This window comes from Homo sapiens, chromosome 12, assembly GCF_000001405.40.
Source record: "Homo sapiens chromosome 12, GRCh38.p14 Primary Assembly".
NCBI lineage: Eukaryota > Metazoa > Chordata > Mammalia > Primates > Hominidae > Homo > Homo sapiens.
The window spans coordinates 132,482,893-132,502,340 of record NC_000012.12 but is presented as its reverse complement, the minus strand read 5'-3'; the positions used below and the strand labels follow the sequence as shown (position 1 = coordinate 132,502,340).

At 63.0% G+C, this 19,448-nt stretch overlaps 1 protein-coding gene across 23 annotated transcripts in view, besides 5 other annotated features; it reads right to left on the bottom strand.

Moving 5' to 3' along the window:
• Nucleotides 1-12,190, bottom strand: part of FBRSL1 (fibrosin like 1) — a 95,038-nt gene extending 82,848 nt beyond the window's left edge. For all 23 annotated transcript variants that reach the window (NR_168498.1, XM_011534812.3, XM_011534807.4 and 20 more), the window contains exon 1: nucleotides 11,480-12,190. Coding sequence is in view for 21 of the 23 variants with exons in the window: in XM_011534807.4 (XP_011533109.1) it covers nucleotides 11,480-11,770 (291 nt within the window). In the remaining 2 variants the exon portion in view is untranslated. The remainder of the gene's footprint in view (nucleotides 1-11,479) is intronic.
• Nucleotides 9,756-9,825: an enhancer, noted in NCBI's record as "active region_7381". NCBI's record gives its function as "activates an Ori minimal core promoter by ATAC-STARR-seq in GM12878 lymphoblastoid cells {active_cell/tissue: GM12878}" and the evidence as "EXISTENCE:reporter gene assay evidence [ECO:0000049][PMID:35858748]".
• Nucleotides 10,539-11,102: an enhancer, noted in NCBI's record as "H3K4me1 hESC enhancer chr12:133067825-133068388 (GRCh37/hg19 assembly coordinates)". NCBI's record gives its function as "activates a minimal SCP1, AML or CMV promoter by ChIP-STARR-seq in naive H9 embryonic stem cells {active_cell/tissue: H9 hESC(naive)}" and the evidence as "EXISTENCE:reporter gene assay evidence [ECO:0000049][PMID:30033119]".
• Nucleotides 12,260-12,709: a silencer, noted in NCBI's record as "silent region_5120". NCBI's record gives its function as "represses an Ori minimal core promoter by ATAC-STARR-seq in GM12878 lymphoblastoid cells {active_cell/tissue: GM12878}" and the evidence as "EXISTENCE:reporter gene assay evidence [ECO:0000049][PMID:35858748]".
• Nucleotides 12,840-12,909: a silencer, noted in NCBI's record as "silent region_5119". NCBI's record gives its function as "represses an Ori minimal core promoter by ATAC-STARR-seq in GM12878 lymphoblastoid cells {active_cell/tissue: GM12878}" and the evidence as "EXISTENCE:reporter gene assay evidence [ECO:0000049][PMID:35858748]".
• Nucleotides 13,100-13,229: an enhancer, noted in NCBI's record as "active region_7380". NCBI's record gives its function as "activates an Ori minimal core promoter by ATAC-STARR-seq in GM12878 lymphoblastoid cells {active_cell/tissue: GM12878}" and the evidence as "EXISTENCE:reporter gene assay evidence [ECO:0000049][PMID:35858748]".

Below are 19,448 nucleotides of genomic sequence, written 5' to 3'. Positions count from 1 at the left end.
GCACCAGGGAAGATGGCCCAGGGCGGCAGTTTGCCAGGAGGGAGGTGACAAAGGGCTGGAGCCTGCCCCGGCCACCAGTGGGGTCTGCCAAGGATTCTAGAAGGGCCCCCAGAAGGACGGACCACACCATTGCTGGCAGGTGGGGGAAAGCAGGCAGCTGCCCCCTCTGTCCCTAAGGAAATGCGGGGCTGCCGCAGGTTGGGGCATGAGGACGCATCAGGATGGTGGTCAACACACTGAGTGGGACGCATCACTCAGACCCGGGAGGTCACCTCTTCAAAACCAACATATGTCCCGTCCATGCACTCTCTGTACAAACAGACTTCCTCACAATAACGAAAAGAATAAAAGGAAAGGCAAGTCATTTGGATTTAGATTTAGAGGAAGACAACAGAAAGAAGCCAGGTGCTGGAGACACCGGGCAGGTGAGGCTGTCCCCAAAGGGGGGACGCAGGGCAGGACCCTGTGAGCAGAGATCTGGGCAGTCGAAGGAAGGAGAGGAGCCACGGGCCTGGGTGTCCTGCTCCCCGCCAGCTCCTGCTCAGCCGCCCTGCATGCTGGGCCCTGCTGTGTGGCCAGCGCTGCTGGGACGAGGAATCCACCACTGGGGTCCCACCCTCTCCAGAGGCCCCTGTCCTGGCCCCTCCCCTCACTGGCCCCTGCACAGGAATGGGCCGTGCATTTGCTCACGGCAGCCCCTCTCACTCCTGTCCAAGGCCTTGGGCCCCGAGCGGAAGGCAGGCTCAGGCTTCATTTCCATGGCCCACACTGGCCCCTGTGAACTCATGACAGCAGTGAGGGCACCCAGCGCACCAACCACTGGGGCTGGGCTTTGTCAGCCCACACTGGTCTCTGAGGCTCCTGGCCCTGGGAGCCCCTCCCCCGGCCATCACCCCTGCTGACAGCTGCCACTGGCGATCCCACGCAGCAGCCTGGGACACACAGAGCCTCTTCCTCAGCCATGGGGAGGGCGGCCCGGGCCCACGCTAGCCAGGTGTCGCTAAAGCCACAGGCCTGGGGCGCGAGGACCACAGGGGCAGCCGCCGCTCGGCCCCAGCTTTATCCCGGAATTCTAGTCCAGCTGTGCCCACAGAACTGACGACCCCTGGGGCTAGGGGCTGGTAGGGGCTGGGCTCCCAGAGTGAACAGGACCACGAGGCCGACCCACTTCTGACCTCAGGGCCCCAGGGAGCAGAGTTGCAGGGGGACCAATGTAGCCCCCACCCAGTCCAGTCCACGTCAGGGGCCCGGTCCACATCAGGGTCCCCTCCCTGGCAGTGGCTGCAGGCCCCTTGGGCTCCTTCCCCGCCCAGCTCCTGGCCACATGGTCCCTGGGGAGAGGCACGCAGCCACGCCGGCCACAGGACAGGGTGTGAGGGGCAGGCGAGTGAGGCATGGGATGAGGGTCTGGCCGAGGACAGCCAGAGGCCTGCTGGGGTATGAGCAGCAGCAACTGGGGCAGGGGCCAAGGGCTGTGGGGGACACTGCGGCAGGAGAGGTTAGAGAGGGTGGGGCTGTGGCAGGGCCTGAGCTCCCTGTGAGGACACAGACTGTTCCAGGCTGGACGGAGTCTGCAGGGCCTGGGCTCCCTGTAAGGGTGTGAATGGGCTGTCCCGGGCTGGACGGAGTCTGCAGGGCCTGGGATCCCTGTAAGGGTGTGAATGGGCTGTCCCGGGCTGGATGGAGTCTGCAGGGCCCTGGGCTCCCAGGCAGGACAGCAGCTGGATGAGGTCGGATTCAGGAAACTATGGACTGGGTGGGTGGAGGGGCCAGGACAGGGGATGGCAACAGGGCCAGGACTCCCCGGAGGCTGGTCTGGACACACAGCAGGACCGGCTGGCCCTATGGGGGACAGAGGACAGGGAGCAGAGAGGCCGGCCCCATGAGCCCAGGCCAGAGAGGGGCAGCCCCAGCCTCCAGCCCTTGCCTGAGTTCTGATCCTGCTCAGCCACTCGCCAGCAGTGTAGACACGGGAAGTGACTGCACGGCTCTGTGCGTCAGGTTCCTCATGTGCAGCATGGGGACAGCACAGCACCCACAGTGGGGGTGTAAGCCTGGGACACACTCGGCTGCTCTGCTCCCTAAAGCCGCCAGCCAGGACCAAGTTCTCAACAGAGGGAAGGTGGCGGCCACAGACTGGGCAGGTGTCCCTCTGGCCTCAGTGGGGCAGGGTCACGGCGTGCGGCTCCCAGCCCCAGACGCTTGATGGCTCCCGCAGAGTCTAGAGGGCAGTGCCGGCGCCTCCTGAGCCAGACACCACGGATTCCGGCCAGAGGGTCCCGGGTGCACGTACATGGTACACACGTGGGCCGGGAAGACGGGCGTGGAGACCTTCACACCTGTCTGGGCTGCGGAGAGCCCAGTAGCCCACCCAGCCTCCTCCCTGACGCCAGCACAGCTCTGGGGAACCCCATCCACCCCACAGGCCAGCTCACAAACCAGATCAGCACAGCTCTGCTGCGCCAACGGAGCTGGGGCTCAGAGGCCGTTCTGTCCCTCACACTCCTGAGGACGCCTGCCGTCCTCCACAGGTACGTGGAACCAAGTACCCCATTTGCCCTGAGTCCCCAGAGCACCTGATCTCACGGAGTTTAGGTGCTGCGCAGCGCCCCACCCCCCAGCCCTGCAGCCCCCCAGCCACAGCCCCCAGCTGTCTCCAGCCTGCCTGCCACCGGCACCCCAAACCTGTACCACCTGCTACATGTGCCCTTCCTGACGGGCTCTCGGGAACCGCCACGCCACGGTGCTGCCCCTCACAGCCTGCACTCTTCCCCAGAAGCCCTCGTGGCCTCCTCTGTGACTCCTAGCCTTCGACGACAGACTCTTTACTGCCATCCCAATACTCACTGGCAATGGGGCCTGTGGGTGTATCTTGGGGGCCGGCCCAGGGCCTGGCACACAGCCGGTGCTCAATAAATGCTTATAAAGTCTGTCAGGGAAAGCAGAACAGCTCAGAACCCTTCCCTGCTGGCCAGCGGCTCACCTGGCCTCTCCCAGAGGTCCAGCACCACTGCTGCCCAGCACCACCCCTGCCTGGCTGGCCCTTCCCTGCTGGCCAGCGGCTCACCTGGCCTCTCCCAGAGGTCCAGCACCACCCCTGCCCGGCACCACCCCTGCCCGGCACCATCCCTGCCTGGCCGGCCCTGGAGGCTCCACTGTGCAGCATCAAGACCTGGGCAGAGCAGAGATCTGGAATGGGCGGGGCGGCTGCCGAGGCCGGATGAGGCCCACCAGTCCCAGGGACCAGTCTGGCCACCCAAGCTCCTGGAGGCCTTGCAGAGCACTGTCCCAGGGGACAGCAGAGGTGGCAGGTACCCTTGGTCACATACACAGGCAGAAGGGGCCCAGCCTGCCGTGGTGAGAGCAGAGGAAGCCCGCTGAGCAGACGGGAGCATGGGCAGGTGGCCACGGGACCTGGCTGGGGTTGTCGGCCTCTCTGCCCAGCCCCCAGTGGGGTGAGTACCATGGCCAAGCCTCAGTTTCCACGCATCACACAGGGTAGCTGCAGCTGCGCCTCCAGCTGTCCTGGCCCACGGGGACACCAGCACCTGATGGCTCTTCAGCCTCTGACCTCCCTCCCCTAGAATAGGTTGGTGGCCACCCAAGCACAGCCCCACCCAGCTCTGCAAGGCCCACGCAGGGCCGCCTGCTGACCAGGATGGGGGGCCCTGTGCAGTAGCACCTCAAGGGGCCCCGGCACCTCCCAAAGCTCCCAGGGGATCTGGACATTCCAGGCTGTAGAGCAGGAGAACCCAGACTTCCATGACCCACATCCCCACATGGGGGTGGTGGGGGCAGCCCAGGACAGGTGTGTGGGGATGGCCCATCCTCCTCATTTCCCTGGAGGGTCTGTAGGATGAGAGTGGAGGGCTAGGGGCCGGGAGGGGTCGGCAGCCACAGATCCACTCTGCTGCGGTCCTCGACAGCCTGTAGCTCAGCCTCCAGCCGGGATTGGCCAGAAGGTGTCTGACAGGCAGGTAGCTGCTGCGGCGCCTCTGCAAGGGTGGCTGGGGGCCTGTGGGTCCCGCAGGCCTCCCCACTGGAACATTCCGACTGCTGTCACATCCCAACACAGCCCCCGGCCCCATGCCCCCGACACAGGCCTCACTGTGAGCGAGGGGCCCGGAGAGAGACCCACACCCACACAGGGGGCACGTAGCTGTGGGGCTTGACAGATCTGGACGGCCGGCTTTCCCTGCCAGCCACCTCCCCAGGCTCCCAAAGAAACAGCAGGCACCCTCCCCAGAGGCCCTGTGGGCCAGCTCTCCCGGGGTGCAGCCAGCCAGGCTGTGACGGGCCCCCCAGCTCTCCCAGGGGTGCAGGCCAGGCTCAGCAATGGGCCTCCCAGCTGCTGCCACACGACCACTTCAGATGCCATACACTCCTGGGGTGGGGCCGGGGAGGACACCAGGCCCGAGGGGTCTCTAGGGGAGGCACATGCGTGGCACAAACACACACATCGCACGCCACAAGCCCTGGCCCTCCCTCAGGGACCTGGGGGCTGCTTACATGCTCACCCTTCTTTAGGGACAAATGGCTTTGTCATGGGCCACATGGCGGGAGTCAGGGCCTGACCCCGGGCCACTAAGAAGGGTTAGATCCCCAGCCCGGGGTTGCCTCAGCAGGTGTGAGGCGGCGCCCTAGGGGTCCCGAGGCCCAGAGCCTGGATTCTAGCCTGGGGCCACTCACTCAGCTCATCTGGACAGGGGCAGGAGGCCTGGGGGCACTGAAGGGTGGTCAGGCCCGTGGGCTCCTGAAAGCAGGAGCTGAGGCCAGAGGGGGTCCTGGTGCCATCTGGGTAGGGGAGTATGGAGGGGGAGTCCGGAGGGAGGGGGCAGCCTGGGACACAGGGGTCACTCAGGGACTCCTGGAGACTCAGGTGGGCTGGGCTCCTCCCGTGGCTGCCTCTGACTCAGGGCAGCCAGACTGGGTCTGCCCTGGGACCTTGGGCCAGCTCTGTGGTCCTCCTACTTAGAGGGCCCTCCTGAGCCAGCCAGGCCACCCCGGGCTCCTCTCCCCCAGCCTCCACTCCTAGCGAGGTGGTCCCATGACCTCTCCCTCATTACCCGTGTCCCCACCCCAAACCATGCTGACTTGGGGTCTCTAACTGGTCACCAGTAAATGGGCTGGAGTGCTGGGACCCGAGTATTCTGTCCAGGTGCTGAGAAAGTGATAAATTCTTATGCCATTTTGACGTTACAGAAAAAAATGAAAAGTTCCCAACCAAAATGCAGCAAAACCAGCGGAAGCAAGACTACCAGACTAACTTTACTAGAAACAGGGTGGCAAAAATCCGAACCGTCGGCAAACAACCCGAAATGAGACTCCACCAACACGGCCCGCCAGGGCCACGTCCGGAGTTCACGGACAGCCTGACAGCAACACAGGACACCGCAGGGCCTGGGAAGGAAGCGCGGGGCAGCGGCACAAGCTGGGTGAGCAGGGCCACCCCTACCCGATGCTGGACCAGAGACGCGCCCCGCGCAACACAGGACACCGCAGGGCCTGGGAAGGAAGCGCGGGGCGGCGGCACAAGCTGGGTGAGCAGGGTCACCCCTACCTGATGCTGGACCAGAGATGCGTCCCGTGCAAGACAGAGCGCCCATCAGAATGTGGGGAAACAGGGAAGGAGGGAGGGACACAGATACCCACAAACAGCAACACCAATCCTCACGCTCTGGACACACTCACAAATCCAGCGCAGCCGCAGGGAAGCAGCAACGTCACAGCCATGTGCAGACGCCAGCAGGGCCAATGACAACCCCCTAAGAGTCCCCTAGAAACTGCCTGTGCTGAGGAGGGAATCCAACAAAGTACCCAGGTAGAGATGTCAGGTGGGAAGACAAACAGCAACAACCAGCCAGAAAACACAGTGAAACGAGGCTTCCAGAGTGACAAAAACACAAGCCCGGGTAAATACGCAACACGGGCCCCTCGGCAGGGAACAGACCCTCACAACCATCAGGAGCCTTAAAACTGCCAGCCACAGACAGCAGGGCCAGTTCTGGGCACTTCTCTTTCTCCAGAGAAGCAATCACACAAAGGCGGGATATGGCGGACGTCTGGCGACAGACCTCCCCGTAAGGACAGCTGGGGCACGAGAGCCTAGTGGGGAAGGAGGGTCTAGTGTGGGTCTGACTCCCTGCTGCAGGACTGTGCGGTGACTCACAGGGACCCCGGGAGACCCCTCCAGGCAAAGGGCAGCCGGCACCAGGCCCCAAACGCGAAGGTGCGCAGCACGTGCGGAGGTGCAGGCACGCGGCGTAGCCACGGCAAGGACAGGAAGGCCTTGGAAACCTGAGCCAAGAACTGACAGGCCCAAGCAGCCGGGAGGGAGGGGATGGGGAAGAGGGCCGGTGACTCCTGCTGTAACAGCCCCGACCCCGAGGCCAGCAAGCCACTGGGCAGGGGCCCGTGAGGGGCAGAAGCACAGGCAGAGGACGTGGAACCCTTCCCAGAGCCAAAGCAGGCCAGGTGCAAGCCCTGCTCCAGCCATGGCAGGGCCTGAGGAGCTGCTGGCCCCCAGACAGGGCCTGGACAGGTGGCGGGCACCCACGTGGACCGAGGGGCCAGCGACGCTGCTTTCAGGGCCTCTGAGTCCACCTCCCCGGAGGGAGCAGCCCTTGCCCACAGCTGTGGGACTCTGTGGGAGGAACAGGAATCCATGCAGCTTCCAGGCAGCCCCTCATTGTCACAGGGCAGGCCCCGGCTCAGCTCCGCACCCCTGCCCCATGGCTGTGGGTAAAGCACTTCCCCTCTCTGTGCCTCAGTTTCCCCACCTGGAGACCAGGAAGCAGCCACAAGGAGTTCCTGGGCCGAAGCCTGCCCTCTCCCTGGCTCTCCTCACTGAACCCAAATGTCTGCGGTCTCAGCCCCCACCACCATCTGAGAGATGGGCCAGGCATGGACTCACAGTGCCCCTGGCAAACTCAGCCCCCACTGGCACCACCAACAGTGTGGCCTCAGCGGTCCCCGGAGGTCCAAGTGACACTGTCAGGCCCCACACGCGGTGCTCGGCAGGCCGGGCCCAGCCCCGCCCCCACATGGCCAGGTCACACTTCCAGCCCAGATCCTATGCCTGGGCTCTTGCTCCTGGAACCCTGGCCCCTCTGTGAAGCCCACCAGGCCCACTAGGGGCTCACAGAGAGACCACCTGGCTCAGCCTCCAGGATGCAGGGCAGGGCAGTGTCTGGGCCAGTCCCTCACACCCTCACATTCCCCACGACGGGCCGTGTCTCAAAACCTGTACCCTCCCCTTGGCCAAGGCCCACCGGCTCCAGGCTCACACCCTATGCCCACCAGGGTTCTGGGCCATTTTCAGCAGGGGTCACAGCTCGCCCACAGACAGCCCTGGGAGGCCGGGGGCCGCACACGATCAGTAGCCTGGGGTTTCTTAAGCACAACCGTCTGTGCAGGTTCAGCAGCATTTTGGGTGCATGTCCTGTGGTTTATGCTGAGCAGAGAATGTGGAAGCACAGGCGTTAGAGGAGACCGCTGGCCACCGAGCCAGGAGGCTGGGTGCTTTCCTTCCGCCTTTATTCCTGGGACACACGTGGACCTTCTGCGTGGCCCGTGTGCCAGTCAGGGAACAGCTCAAGCTTCAGCACGCACCTTCTTATGGAGCTTGACGTGTGGACCAAGTGAAAGTCACCAGGTGAAAGTGATTTGCTGTTTGAAAAATGCAAATTAACCAAAAATCACAGACACCAAACCAGAATGGTGGTGTCCGCCTGGAGCTAGTGGCCAATGTGCTCCTGGGCACCCTGCCACCTCCCTGTGGCCCAGGCGCAGCCCAGAGCACCATGGCCAGCGTCACTGGGGCCGAGCGGCCAGCATGTGGGAGTGGGCGGTGCAGCCCACTGGGCTAAGCAGGCCTGGCCTATCTCCCAGGAGACACAGGGACCGGCACAACCTGTTCTGTGGCCTGAGGCCAGATAAGGATGGCCTTTGCTATGTGGGAAGATGGGGTCTGACACAGCCCTGGATACACCTCTCAGACCCCAGTCTTCTTGGGAGGACCCCAGGCAGAGAACAGCAGCACTGACCAGGCACGTATGGCCACAGCACTGCTCCAGGGGTAGGGGGCTTCCAGTGTCCTCTGGTCAGTACAACCAGGGGACAGAGTTGTCACAGGAAACAAAAGGGACAGCAAGAGCCACGTTCCCAAGCACCCAGAGTTCCCGGTCAGAACAAGAGCAGGGGAGAGGCCAGCGGGGCTTCCTCAGGCCTCCTGTCCCCACATACCACGGCCCCTGGTTACAGAGTAGAAAGTCAAGCGGGGGCTGGCTCAGGTCTGCCGCGCCGCCCCACCCACCCCAGCACACCCAGCCCAGCACGCCCCTCTGCAGGTCCTCAGCCCTGCCACAGGGCTCCCATCTCTATGGGCAGTTAATCATTAATGCTGTCTCCAGGGCTGCAGGCACACCCTGAGCCAGGCCAGACCCTGGCCCTCCTCAGCCCACAACCACCACCACCACCATTTAGGGAGTGCCTGCTGTGTTCACAGCACACACAGGCCCAGGACAAGCGGGGACTCCTCCTCCCCTACAGGAGCACATATAAATGTGCAGATGCTGGGGGCCTGCCCCGGGCACAGAACGGCCTATGTGTCCCACCCAGGGTACACAAAGGGGGCGGGGGCCTGCCCCGGGCACAGAACAGCCTGTGTGTCCCATCCAGGGCACAGAAAAGGGGCAGGGACCTGCCGGGGGCACAAAACAGGTACAGAGACCTGCCCCGGGCACAGGGCAAGGGGTGCCTGTTCAGACAGGCGGAGAGGGTGGTCTGCCTGGGGTCAGAAGGGGCTGCGAGTGGGGGTCTGCCCCAGGGGCCAGGGCTGGGGCCGAGAGTTGGTCCCAGTGTGTGTGGGGTCTGGGGTGAGGTAACAGGACTCCTGCAGGCAGGCTGCACCTCCCCGGCAAGTCTACACCTGTGTTTGGTTGTTTATACCACTGCAGTGTCCCGCGGGCACAAGCCAGCCTCTGGGGTTACAAGGGCTTCCTCCAACTCCTGAGCGTCCCATCCTCCAGCATCCCAGAGTAGGAAGAGCCCTCAAGACGCGGGTGGGGGCAGAGGGACTGTGAGCAAAGGCGGCAGAGCCAAGGGCAGGCTGTGCCTCTGGGCTGGGTCCTGGTGGCCACATCTCCCTCGGTGTCCCGTGTGGGTGGCCTCGCAGGGCAGCGCCCGCTCACTCTAAGGCCGGACAGGCGTGGCACCCAGTGCTCCTTGCTCTTGCTCTGCCTCAATGGGGAGCCTCAAGGTCCCCATCTGTGGAATGGGGGCATCCAGCCCTCCTCGTGGGTCATTTGAGGAGTAAATGAGTTGATGTCTGTGAAAGGCAGCTCAGAACACTGCCTGATGGAGAGAATGCTTACTGAACCAGTCACTACTATTGATATAATTATGAATTATCTGAACTTTGGGGAAAAACCACCATACTTTGGCAAAAAATGTAGACAACCAAGAGACACGTATGGGATGATCACGAGGTTATGACTTGTGCAGAAGCCCCGTACTTTCCCAGGCAGGCTCCGAAGGGCAGAGGAAGGGACATGAAACCACCCTGGGGTGCTGTGGCTGTGTTAACGCCACGCAGCAGCAGACTTGTCTCACTATGACCTGAGGGGCCAGCTGGTCTAAGCCGAAGTCACCAAAACCCACTGAACCCACTGCCTGCAGGCTGGGGGCACGTGACCCTGCCAGAGCAGGTGGACAGCCAGTCAGAGCCGCTGCGGGCAAAACACGTGGGCCTGGGATTGGCCCTGGATCTCCTGAGTACAGTTCATCTCCTCACTCAGATTCCTGACACACGCATCTGGGGCACTTTCTACACATCGAGCTCTTCCCGGCACCAGACCCCATAGGAGACACACAGGACAGCACAGTGTCTGCTCTCTTTCAGCTTACAAGTTCTTGTGGGAGACGAAAATGGAGAGCAAAGACATTCTAAAACAGCTTTGCAGAGTGGGGATGACAAAAAGAAGGTGGGCAACGTCGACGGGGGTGGGGGGCACCACTTCAGAGGAGTCTGAGGTGACGTTTTTGCAAAGACACAATGGCACCAAACATAAAGCAGACAGAGAACGGCAGGGTACAAGGGCTGACCCGCTCGGAGCAGTGAGGAAGCCGCGGTTAGGGACCCAGGAGGTGCAGGTGGGTGGCGACAGCTCTGGAAAGTGGGCATCCTCGTGGTCTCAGCTGCAGTGCAGGAGCCGAGCGCAGGGCCTGGCTTGCAGTATTGCTCAGTACACGTACAGTCTGTGTCATTATCACCACTGAGAGGGCAGAAGACAGCCCCAGGGCCATCCCGTCCCAGCACAGAGCAATGGCGTGTGCCAGCCCTGGAGCCATCTAATAATGTGCAGGACAGAGGATGGCCAGCCTGTGTGATGAGCCTGGCCACCACCCACCCCGTCCTGGGCCCACAGGAGCCCCAGCTCTGTCCGTGCACTTGGGACACGAAGCCCCAGCTCTGACTGTGCACTCGGGACACGATGCGGCACCTGTTCTGGGGCCACTTCCCTGGCCACCGGCCCTGACCCAAGGCTCTCTACAGTCCCCAGAGTTTGGATGAGAACTTGAAGAGGACTTGCTGCTTCAGGGGCCTGCAGTAGGCATCTCCCCTTTTCCCAAAGCTCAGCTTCTGAGACTGGGGGATCCCAGGCCATGGGCTCCCAAGCCCCTGGAAAAGTGAGAGGGGTTGGAAATGGGGTGATTCTGGGAGTCAAAGTCCAGCAGATGAGGGTCCCCCAAAGTAAGTGCTGCACGGGGCACACCTCGCTGGGCGGGTCTCGGCCCTGGTGCAGGGCAACTTGCTAGCATTCCTGCCCATGCCAGTCCTGGGGAGACAGCGCCTGCCCCAACTCTCAGACAGCATTTAATTTCCTTCTCTGCTCAGCTGAGTTCATGTAAGAGGAGCAGTATTTGCTCAGCAAATACTGTCCGTCAGCCAGACAAGCAATATTTTTGGCCAATCTATTAACCATGCAGCAGGCAGCAGTCACCAAGAGGGGTCTTGAGATTAACCCTCCTTCTCCCCTTCTCAGCAGAGCCCTCGAAGGGAGGAGGGAACGGGATGGCCCGCGGAGTATCCATTTTATCACCACCTCCCTAAGATCCAGCACTGCTCCCTAGCACGTCCTGAACCAGGCAGAGCGATATGCTGGCCACAGAAACACAACTGATAAAAGGCCGACGGTGCTGTCAGACAGCCCCCAATTTCGAAGCGTAGATTTTTTTGCCTCTGCAACTTAAAACGTCCCCAAACCCACCCGACGCTGCTGGGTCTTCCAGATGCGACGGTCTGGGCGAGCGGTGGGCACCCAGGGTCCCTGGAACGGGTACCAAGTGGCCGGGGCTTCCCTCAGGGCTGCCCACGGCGCGGGCGGTCGCAAGCCCAGGGGTCCCGGGATCGCCCGACGCGTCAACTCCGGGCCCCGTTCTCGCCTCAACGCCTGCGAAGCCGCACCCGTCCACCTACCTCCAGGGCCTCCAGGGTGCTGAAGCTGGCGATGGCGAAGCCGTCGATGACCTCCTCCTCCTGCGAGCTGGACTCGCGGCGGCGGCGGCGCGGGGGACGCGCGGTGCGGGGCGCGGGGGCGGCGCCTCGGGGGGGCGCGCCGCGGAGGCCCGCGTTCTCCTTGCCGGGGCTGGGCTCGGGCTCGTCGCCCGACGACGGACTCTGGGCGCGGGCGTCGCGGGCGGCCTCCCGGCGCCGGCCACGGTCCCGCTGCGCGCGCGAGCGCCGGCTCGGGCGGACCTTGGCCTCCATGGCCGCGCGTGCGCCCCGTCGGGCCGGTGACCTTGACGCCCCGCGCCTGGCTCGCAGCAGGCGGGCTCCCTCGGCTACGCGGCGCCGCCGGGCTGAGTGTGCGCCGCGCGGGCTCGGGCCCTGGGCGGCGGCGGGCGGCGGGCCGGGCCGGGCATGCCGGGCGCGGGGGGCGGCTCAGCCCCGGGCCCGGCGCGGCCTGGGACCCCCGGCGCGGGCGGCTGGGCGCATCGGCGGGGGCGGGCCCGGCGCTCAGCGGCCCTCGGCCGCCCCCCCGGGGGCGCGCCCCATGCGCGCGGCGCGGCGATCGGGCCGAGCGGGCGGGGCCGGGCGGGCGCGGCAGGCGGCAGGCGGGAGGCGGCCGGGCTCCTGGGCACCGGGCTCGTGAGGCGGCGGCGGCGCCCCGAACAGATAACAACTGACGCACTTCCGCCCGGCTGCGCTCGCCAGAGGAAGTGAGGGCCGCCGCGGGCGCCCGCGCGCCCCGCCCCGACCACGCCCCTGCCCCGCCCCGCTCATAAGGCTCCGCCCCCACCCCGCACACGCGGCCCGCCCCGCTCACAAGGCTCCGGCCCCTCCCCGCCCCATTCACGCAGGCCCCGCCCCCCGCAGGCTCCGCCCCCTCCCCGACCCGCTCACGCAGGCCCCGGCCCCGCCCCTCCCGGGCGCTCCCGCTAATTCAGGCCCCGCCCCACCCGCAGGTGCCCGCCCTTCGACCTCGCCCCCTAGCCGCGCCCCTCCCCGGCGCCCCGACCTCCGCTGCAGCCGGCGGTGATCCGCTCGGCTCCTTCCTGGGAGGGCGCTGGGATGCCGCGGCCCCTCCGTGGGCACCTGCGGGCGGCGCTCTCCAAGCGGGAGGCGGGGGCAGCGCCGCCCTCCTCTGCGGGACTGGGGTCCCCGGCCGCGGGCGGCTTCCGAGGAGGACGAGGGGCCTCCGGTCTCGCGGAACCGAAGTCCTGCCCTCGGCGAGCGTGGAAGGGACGGGGAAGGGGCGGGGAGGACCGGGGGAGGGTCCTCGGCCAGGCGGTGCCCCCTCCCCGCGTCCCCGCGGACCCTCCCAGGCCTCCTAGGATGCGGGAGGGGTCTGTCCGCGTCCCCGCCCCGCGCCACGTGCCCCCAAGTCCCACAAGAAGGCGGCTCCCGCCACCGAGACCCCCGGGAACGCGCCCAGCGAGGCGGGGGCTGCTGCCAGACACGGAGCGCAGTGTGGAGGGCGGCGCGGGCAGGAAGCGCACGGAGGCGGCTGCGGTTGCGAGGCAGGCGCGGGGCGAACTTCCTCCTCCACCCCCAGGACAGGCCGAGCTCGGAGGGGCCCGCCTGGTGGGGTTTTCTGAGCCCAGGGGCCCCTTGCGCGTGGGCACTGGAGTCATTGATTCATGCAGCGCGTATTTGCCAGATGCCTCCTGTGTCCAGGCTCTGTTGGTGACCCCGCAGCGGCTGAGATAGACTACCCTCTTAGAAGTGGGAGAGAGACCCTGAACACAGGGCCAAATAGAATATCAGCCAAGGATAATCTGAAGAAAATCGAACGGGGAGGTGTCACAGAGAGTGGGCATTGGGTGGTCCAGAGGGCCTCCCCGAGGAGTGACGACTCCGAGCCCCAGCAGTCATGGGCACCCTGTTTCAGGTCGGGGCTACACCCCTGCACAGGCCCTCGGAGAAGAATGGTGGTTTGCTGGAGGGCGGAGGGGAGGGTGCCCAAGACAGTGGTGGGACCCTGCCCTCGGTTGCCCTTAGTGGGAACGGGTCCTCGCCCACTCTGCGGGGTCCACTTTACCCTGCCTCTGGGAGAGCCTACTGGCGGCCTCTTGTGCAGGGCAGGAAGGGTGTGGTCCAGGCACCACTGGCTGTTTGCTGGGCTGAGGCAGTTGGGAAAGTAGCTCACTGGGGTGGGGGGACTTCCTGTTCACCCAGCCTCCTCCAGTCCACCCAGCCCGCTCTCTGGTTCCCTGTCAAAGCCTCCCCAGGGTGGGGGCAGGGTCCCCCTCCCCCTCTTCCCATTCCGGGTTTTGTTAAACCGTGGTTTCACCCTCCAGCATCCTCCCTTTTGATTTTTAAAAGCCTCATTAGGAAGACAGAAACGGACCCCGAGTAGTTTCTCCATGCACGCCTGCTCCCGAATTCCCCTCCCTGGACAGAAGGCCAGGAAATGTGGGCGAGGGTCACCCAGGTGGCATTTGAGGCTCTTGTTTAAATACAGGCCTCTTCCCAAGTAGCCTGGGAGTCCTCACCTGTTCCCCGAGGCTCCCAGAGGCCATCCCACCCTAGGCTGGGCCCAGAGGTCAGTCAGACTGCAAGGGGCATCCTGTGGGCACCCCCTCCCCCCCAGAAGAATTGCTTGGGAAGGTCTGAGGTTTTGGATTTGAAGTTTCTTTCTCTTTTTCTTTTTCTTTTTTTTTTTTTGAGACAGATCTCACTTTGTCACCCAGACTGGAGTGCAGTGGCGTGATCTTGGCTCACTGCAGCCTCCGTCTCCCGGGTTCAAGCCATTCTCTTGTCTCAGCCTCCCGAGTACCCAGGACTACAGGCCTATGCCACCATGTCTGACTAATGTTTTGTATTTTTAGTAGAGATGGGGTTTCGCCATGTTGGCCAAGCTAGTCTCGAACTCCTGACCTCAGGTGATCTACCCGCCTCAGCTTTCCAAAGTGCTGGGATTACAGGCGTGAACCACTGTGCCCAGCCTGAAGTTTCTGATTATAGACATACACTGTTTGTTTATCTGATCTCCGAAGATGTTCAGATGTGTGACCCCAGTGAAGGGCAGGGGCTCTGTAGACCTCCTCAGGGGCTTCCTTTTTGGGCTCCCCCCCGGGTTTCCCTGGCTGTCCTGGGGAAGGCGTCCCCAGGTGCCTTCTCTCCTTTGATCCATTTCCAGGTGTCCAGATGGCCAACCAGGGACCAGCCGCCATCTCTGGAGTTCTGGGCTCAAGTGCTCCCCAGGGACCAGCCGCCGATGCTGGAGTTCTGGGCTCAGGTGCTCCCCAGGGACCAGCCGCCGTCTCTGGAGTTCTGGGCTCAGGTGCTCCCCAGGGAGGGCTTGCTTTGGGAACCTTCTCTTACAGAAGAAAGCAGCTGGGCTACGTGCTGGATGGGAAGCCCTTGGGAGGGATGGTGGTTCTGGGGGTGGTTCTGGGGGTGGTTTCTGACAGATGCGTACTTGCCTGCTTGCGGACCGGGCTGTGTGTCTCCGGGAGCACGCATCACAGTGACCGGACATCCCACCCAGGACTCCGAACCTCCCTGGGGCTTGCCAGGGCCCTGGGCAGAGCTTGCAGCACGAACCCCACCCCCCACACTCCCACTGACTTCTTGGTGTGGTGCAGGTTGGACCTCCTGTGCTTGTTTGGTTTTTCAGTTTGTGTGCTCACACATCTGCCCTCTCTTGCCCCGGGCAGGATGGGGTGCTTTGGAAGGTAGAGACTGCAGCGGTTAGGAGACCTCCAGGCCAGTGGCCTGCAGAGCTCGGAAGTGGAGGGAATGGCTGGGTTGTCCGGACGGTGGCCGCCAGCCACGAGTGGCTCAAGCCTCTGCAGTGTGGCAAGTGCAGCTGAAGAACTGGATTATACATTTTACTTACAGACTTTAATCTAAAATATAATAGCCTGTGGGGCTGGTGGCTACCATGCTGGACAGGGAAGTTCTAGACCGGCTCGCCTGGGCCCCAGCCTCAGCTGTGCCACCCACTTAGAATATTTTGGGCAAATGATTTAACGTGCTTCCATCGTCCCGTCTATAAAGTGGGGGTGGCGTGGCGATGAGGCGTCCCGCCGTCGGGGGTGTGAAAGCCCCTGGGTGTGTGTGAATCGGTGTGTGAGTCAATGGAGGCCTCAGACCCACGACGGGAGGGAGGTGTGAGCACACACAGCTGAGCCCACCCCAGGGTTCCCCACCCCTCACGTCTGAGGTTCTCTGGGGCTGGTCGGGGACCACACTCTGGGAACCATGGGTTTGAATGCACCACAGTCAGGGCCCTGGTACAATCAGGGCCGTAGGTGGGTGCTCATCAAGCCCTCCAGCCCCTCCCCACCCTCTTCCCCAGCTCTTGCCAGCAAAACCCCTTTTCTCTCCACTCTGCTGGAGGCCCACAGCTCCTGCCCACAACTCCTTCCCAGCCCCTAGGGCTCAGCTCTCTGGCCCCACCACCAGCCCAGGTCCCTTTCCTGCTCACGCCACACCCCTTAGCTCTCATCCTTCCAACCAGCCCGGGTCCCTTTCCTGCTCACGTCACACCCCTTAGCTCTCATCCTTCCAACCCGCCCGGGTCAGAGCCCTGAGTGGTGCTATGAGCATCGGTGGGCTCCGGGATGGCACATCAGCTCCTCCATCGTAGCCACTGGCCTTTGCTTTAGAGAGTCCTTCCCTGCCATCTGTAAGGCTCTGTGCAAAGTTAATTGATGTGAAATTGTATTCAAAATTCAATTTGGGGCAACGGATCCAAATTAGGCTCTATAAATCAGCTAAGCCATTTGCCCTTTGGGTTTCAAACTTGCCTGTGGGGTGACAGCCAAAAAGTAGAAAGTATGTTCCATTTCTTGCAGCCCCCAGCCCCATCTGTGAGCCGGCTGTCAGCTCCAGCCCTCCGCATGCACCCCTCTTCCTTCCCGTAATGGCACCTCAGTGTATTTTGGATGCATAGTCTGCTCTTGTGGGTGCCGTCTGGTGACACAGCAGGTCCTAAGGCCCCATGCTCCCCTAGAAAAGGAACAAAGGAACGTCAGTCAGCTCTTGCTTGGAGAACGCTGTGTAACAAACAGCCCCTGGGCCCTCAGTGACAATGCCTTGCTCACAGGGTTGCAGGGTGACAAGAGGGGCTTTGCTTCTTCATTTGGACTTTGGTTAGGCCCAGCTATAATCCACTGGCCTCTTTCTGTGGGATGCAGGCGTTCATTCTCCCTCAGTGGCTCAGGAGGCTGAGCAGAGCCATATAAACCTAGGAGAAGCCCGTGCTTGAAGCCTCATGTTGTGTCTGTCAAGGAAGTTTCAAGGCTAGGACCAGCCTCCACGGGGCAGAGAAGTCGTGCTTTCTGCTCTGGTGGGGTGTGATGGCTCAGTTTGTCATGCAGGTGACCCAGGTGACACCAGTCAGGTGGCCTCTTCCTGGCATTGCAGTTAGAATGTGCCTTGAGCCACATGTCAAGGCAATTGAGTGTTTGGAGTCCTCAACGTGCCCCCTTCCAGTCATCCTGCTCCTGAGGATGTGCTGTTGCCTGGTTCCGAGCCTGCTGCAGCTCTGCGGGCCGCCCCCTCCCTGTTCACCCAGGGGAGCAGGCGTGTTCCCTCCGCAGGGGCTTGAGACCTGCCGTCCTTTCCCCTGGACCCTCCCTCTCCCCCAAGCCCTAACCCAATGCCACTCCTTCCTGAGGCTGATGGTGGCTTTGCGTGAGGTGGGCCCTGCTGAGCAGCAGAGAATTTCTTAGAATTTTCATCGCCAGATGGCTCTGGGTTAGGGCTGACCACAGAAAACCAGCAGGCATGTTGGAAAGCAGGAGTGGAATGCAGAAGGCAGAGGGAGCCACACGGAGCAGCCAGGTTACACTCCTGCCGTCGTGTGACTGCTGCAGACCCCCTGTCCCCGCACCTCAGCGGGCTTGGGCCGTTCCAGGCCTGCAGCACCGTGGGCTCCAGCCACCTCCTGCCACTGCCCCTCCCAGTCTGTGTCAGGAGCACTGGAGTCTCCCAGTCAGTTCCTCAGGACGCTATGTCACCGTCATGATGTCCGTGAGCTCCCATGCGCCTGGCTCTCCCCGTTACCACACTTACCTTTCTCTCCTGGCAGCCACTCCCTGGCTCTCCTTGGAGAGTGTTTCAGCTGGCCATGCTCCGTGTGCAGTGTGAGAGTGCACAAGCTTGCACAGGTGCTCACACCAGAAAGGGACGTTGCAGGTTGGGAGGAGGGTCCTTGTGCCAGGCCCTGGCCCCCGAGTCTGCCCCTTGCAGTGGGGTGCCCAGCCTGGTGTGGGGTCAGGCTGTGGGAAGGAGGAGAGGCCAGGGACAAGCAGCCGGGATTAGCTTGGGCTCTTTCCCTTGAAAGTGGCAGAAATGCAAACCCAAAGCAGCCCGTACCTGTGGGGTTCCCGACAGGCCCCGGCTTCAGGCAGGGCTGGATTCAGGCAGCAGCCCACACCCCGTGGGGTTCCCGACAGGCTCCGGCTTCAGGCAGGGCTGGATTCAGGCAGCACCCCGTACCCCGTGGGGTTCCTGACAGGCCCCGGCTTCAGGCAGGGCTGGATTCAGGCAGCACCCCGTACCCGCTGGGGTTCCCGACACGCCCTGGCTTCAGGCAGGGCTGGATTCAGGCAGCACCCCGTACCCGCTGGGGTTCCCGACATGCCCCGGCTTCAGGCAGGGCTGGATTCAGGCAGCACCCCGTACCCCGTGGGGTTCCTGACAGGCCCCGGCTTCAGGCAGGGCTGGATTCAGGCAGCACCCCGTACCCGCTGGGGTTCCCGACACGCCCTGGCTTCAGGCAGGGCTGGATTCAGGGACAGGGGTTCCAGCAGCCTCAGCTTTAAGTGGGGAGTTAAGGGGTTCAATGTCGACAGGAAAAATAGAATTTTATGAAGCTCTGAGCAAAGTCCCGAGTCCTCTCTGAATGGGATCTTCAGGCCGCCAAGTCCCTGCAGCTCGGGGGTGTGAAGCTGTGACTGACAGGCCTCGGTCTACCGAGACCACAGACTGAGGAGGCAGAGGCGGGCCCTAAAACTAGATGGGAACGGACACCGTAGGGGGCCAGGTCCCCACCTGAGGCCCACCTGCCTCACTGGACCAGCACCGGGGCTCGAGTCTGCACCCCACCTACCCACCTCCCCGCAGTGTCCCGGCCACCCCACGCAGCTCTCTGGACATCGTGTCCCGGCTGCCCCACACAAGTCTCTGAGGCCCGGGCAGCTCTCTGGACACCTTTCTGCTACTTGTGCCACACTGTTGGTTCTTGGGCCCGAGCTGTTCCCACCTCCCATGCCCAGCAGGTCCCGGTTATGTCCCGGTTATGTCCGGTTTACGTCCTGGTTATGTCCAGGTTATGTCCCGGTTGTGTTCCGGTTATGTCCTGGTTAGGTCCCGGTTATGTCCGGGTTAGGTCCGGGTTAGGTTCCGGTTATTTCTGGGTTATGTCTGGTTAGGTCCCGGTTATGTCCGGGTTATGTCCCAGTTAGGTCCCGGTTATGTCCAGGTTGTGTCCGGGTTAGGTCCCGGTTATTTCCAGGTTATGTCCAGGTTAGGTCCTGGTTATGTCCGGGTTACATCCAGGTTACGTCCTGGTTACGTCCAGGTTAGGTCCCGGTTAGGTCCGGGTTATGTCGCGTTAGGTCCCGGTTAGGTCCGGGTTATGTCCGGGTTATGTCCGGGTTAGGTTCCGGTTATTTCTGGGTTATGTCCGGGTTAGGTCCTGTTATGTTCCGGTTATTTCCAGGTTAGGTCCCAGTTAGGTCTGGGCGCATCTGTCAGTCATTGCTGTGTCCCAGCGATGGCAAATCTCAGTGTCTGCGGCCGTGAGCGCTCACATTCTTCTCAGCTCTGCAGGTCAGCTGCAGGGCTCCCATCCACCCCAGGGAGGAGTCATGCCCGGCTGGAGCCTGGGTGACTGTGTTTCCCCATGTGAGACCAGGGGATGGGTGAGCCAGGCCTGTGAGGTATAAGGCAATGTCTGCAAGGGCGTCTGGGGAAGATGCCCCTCTGT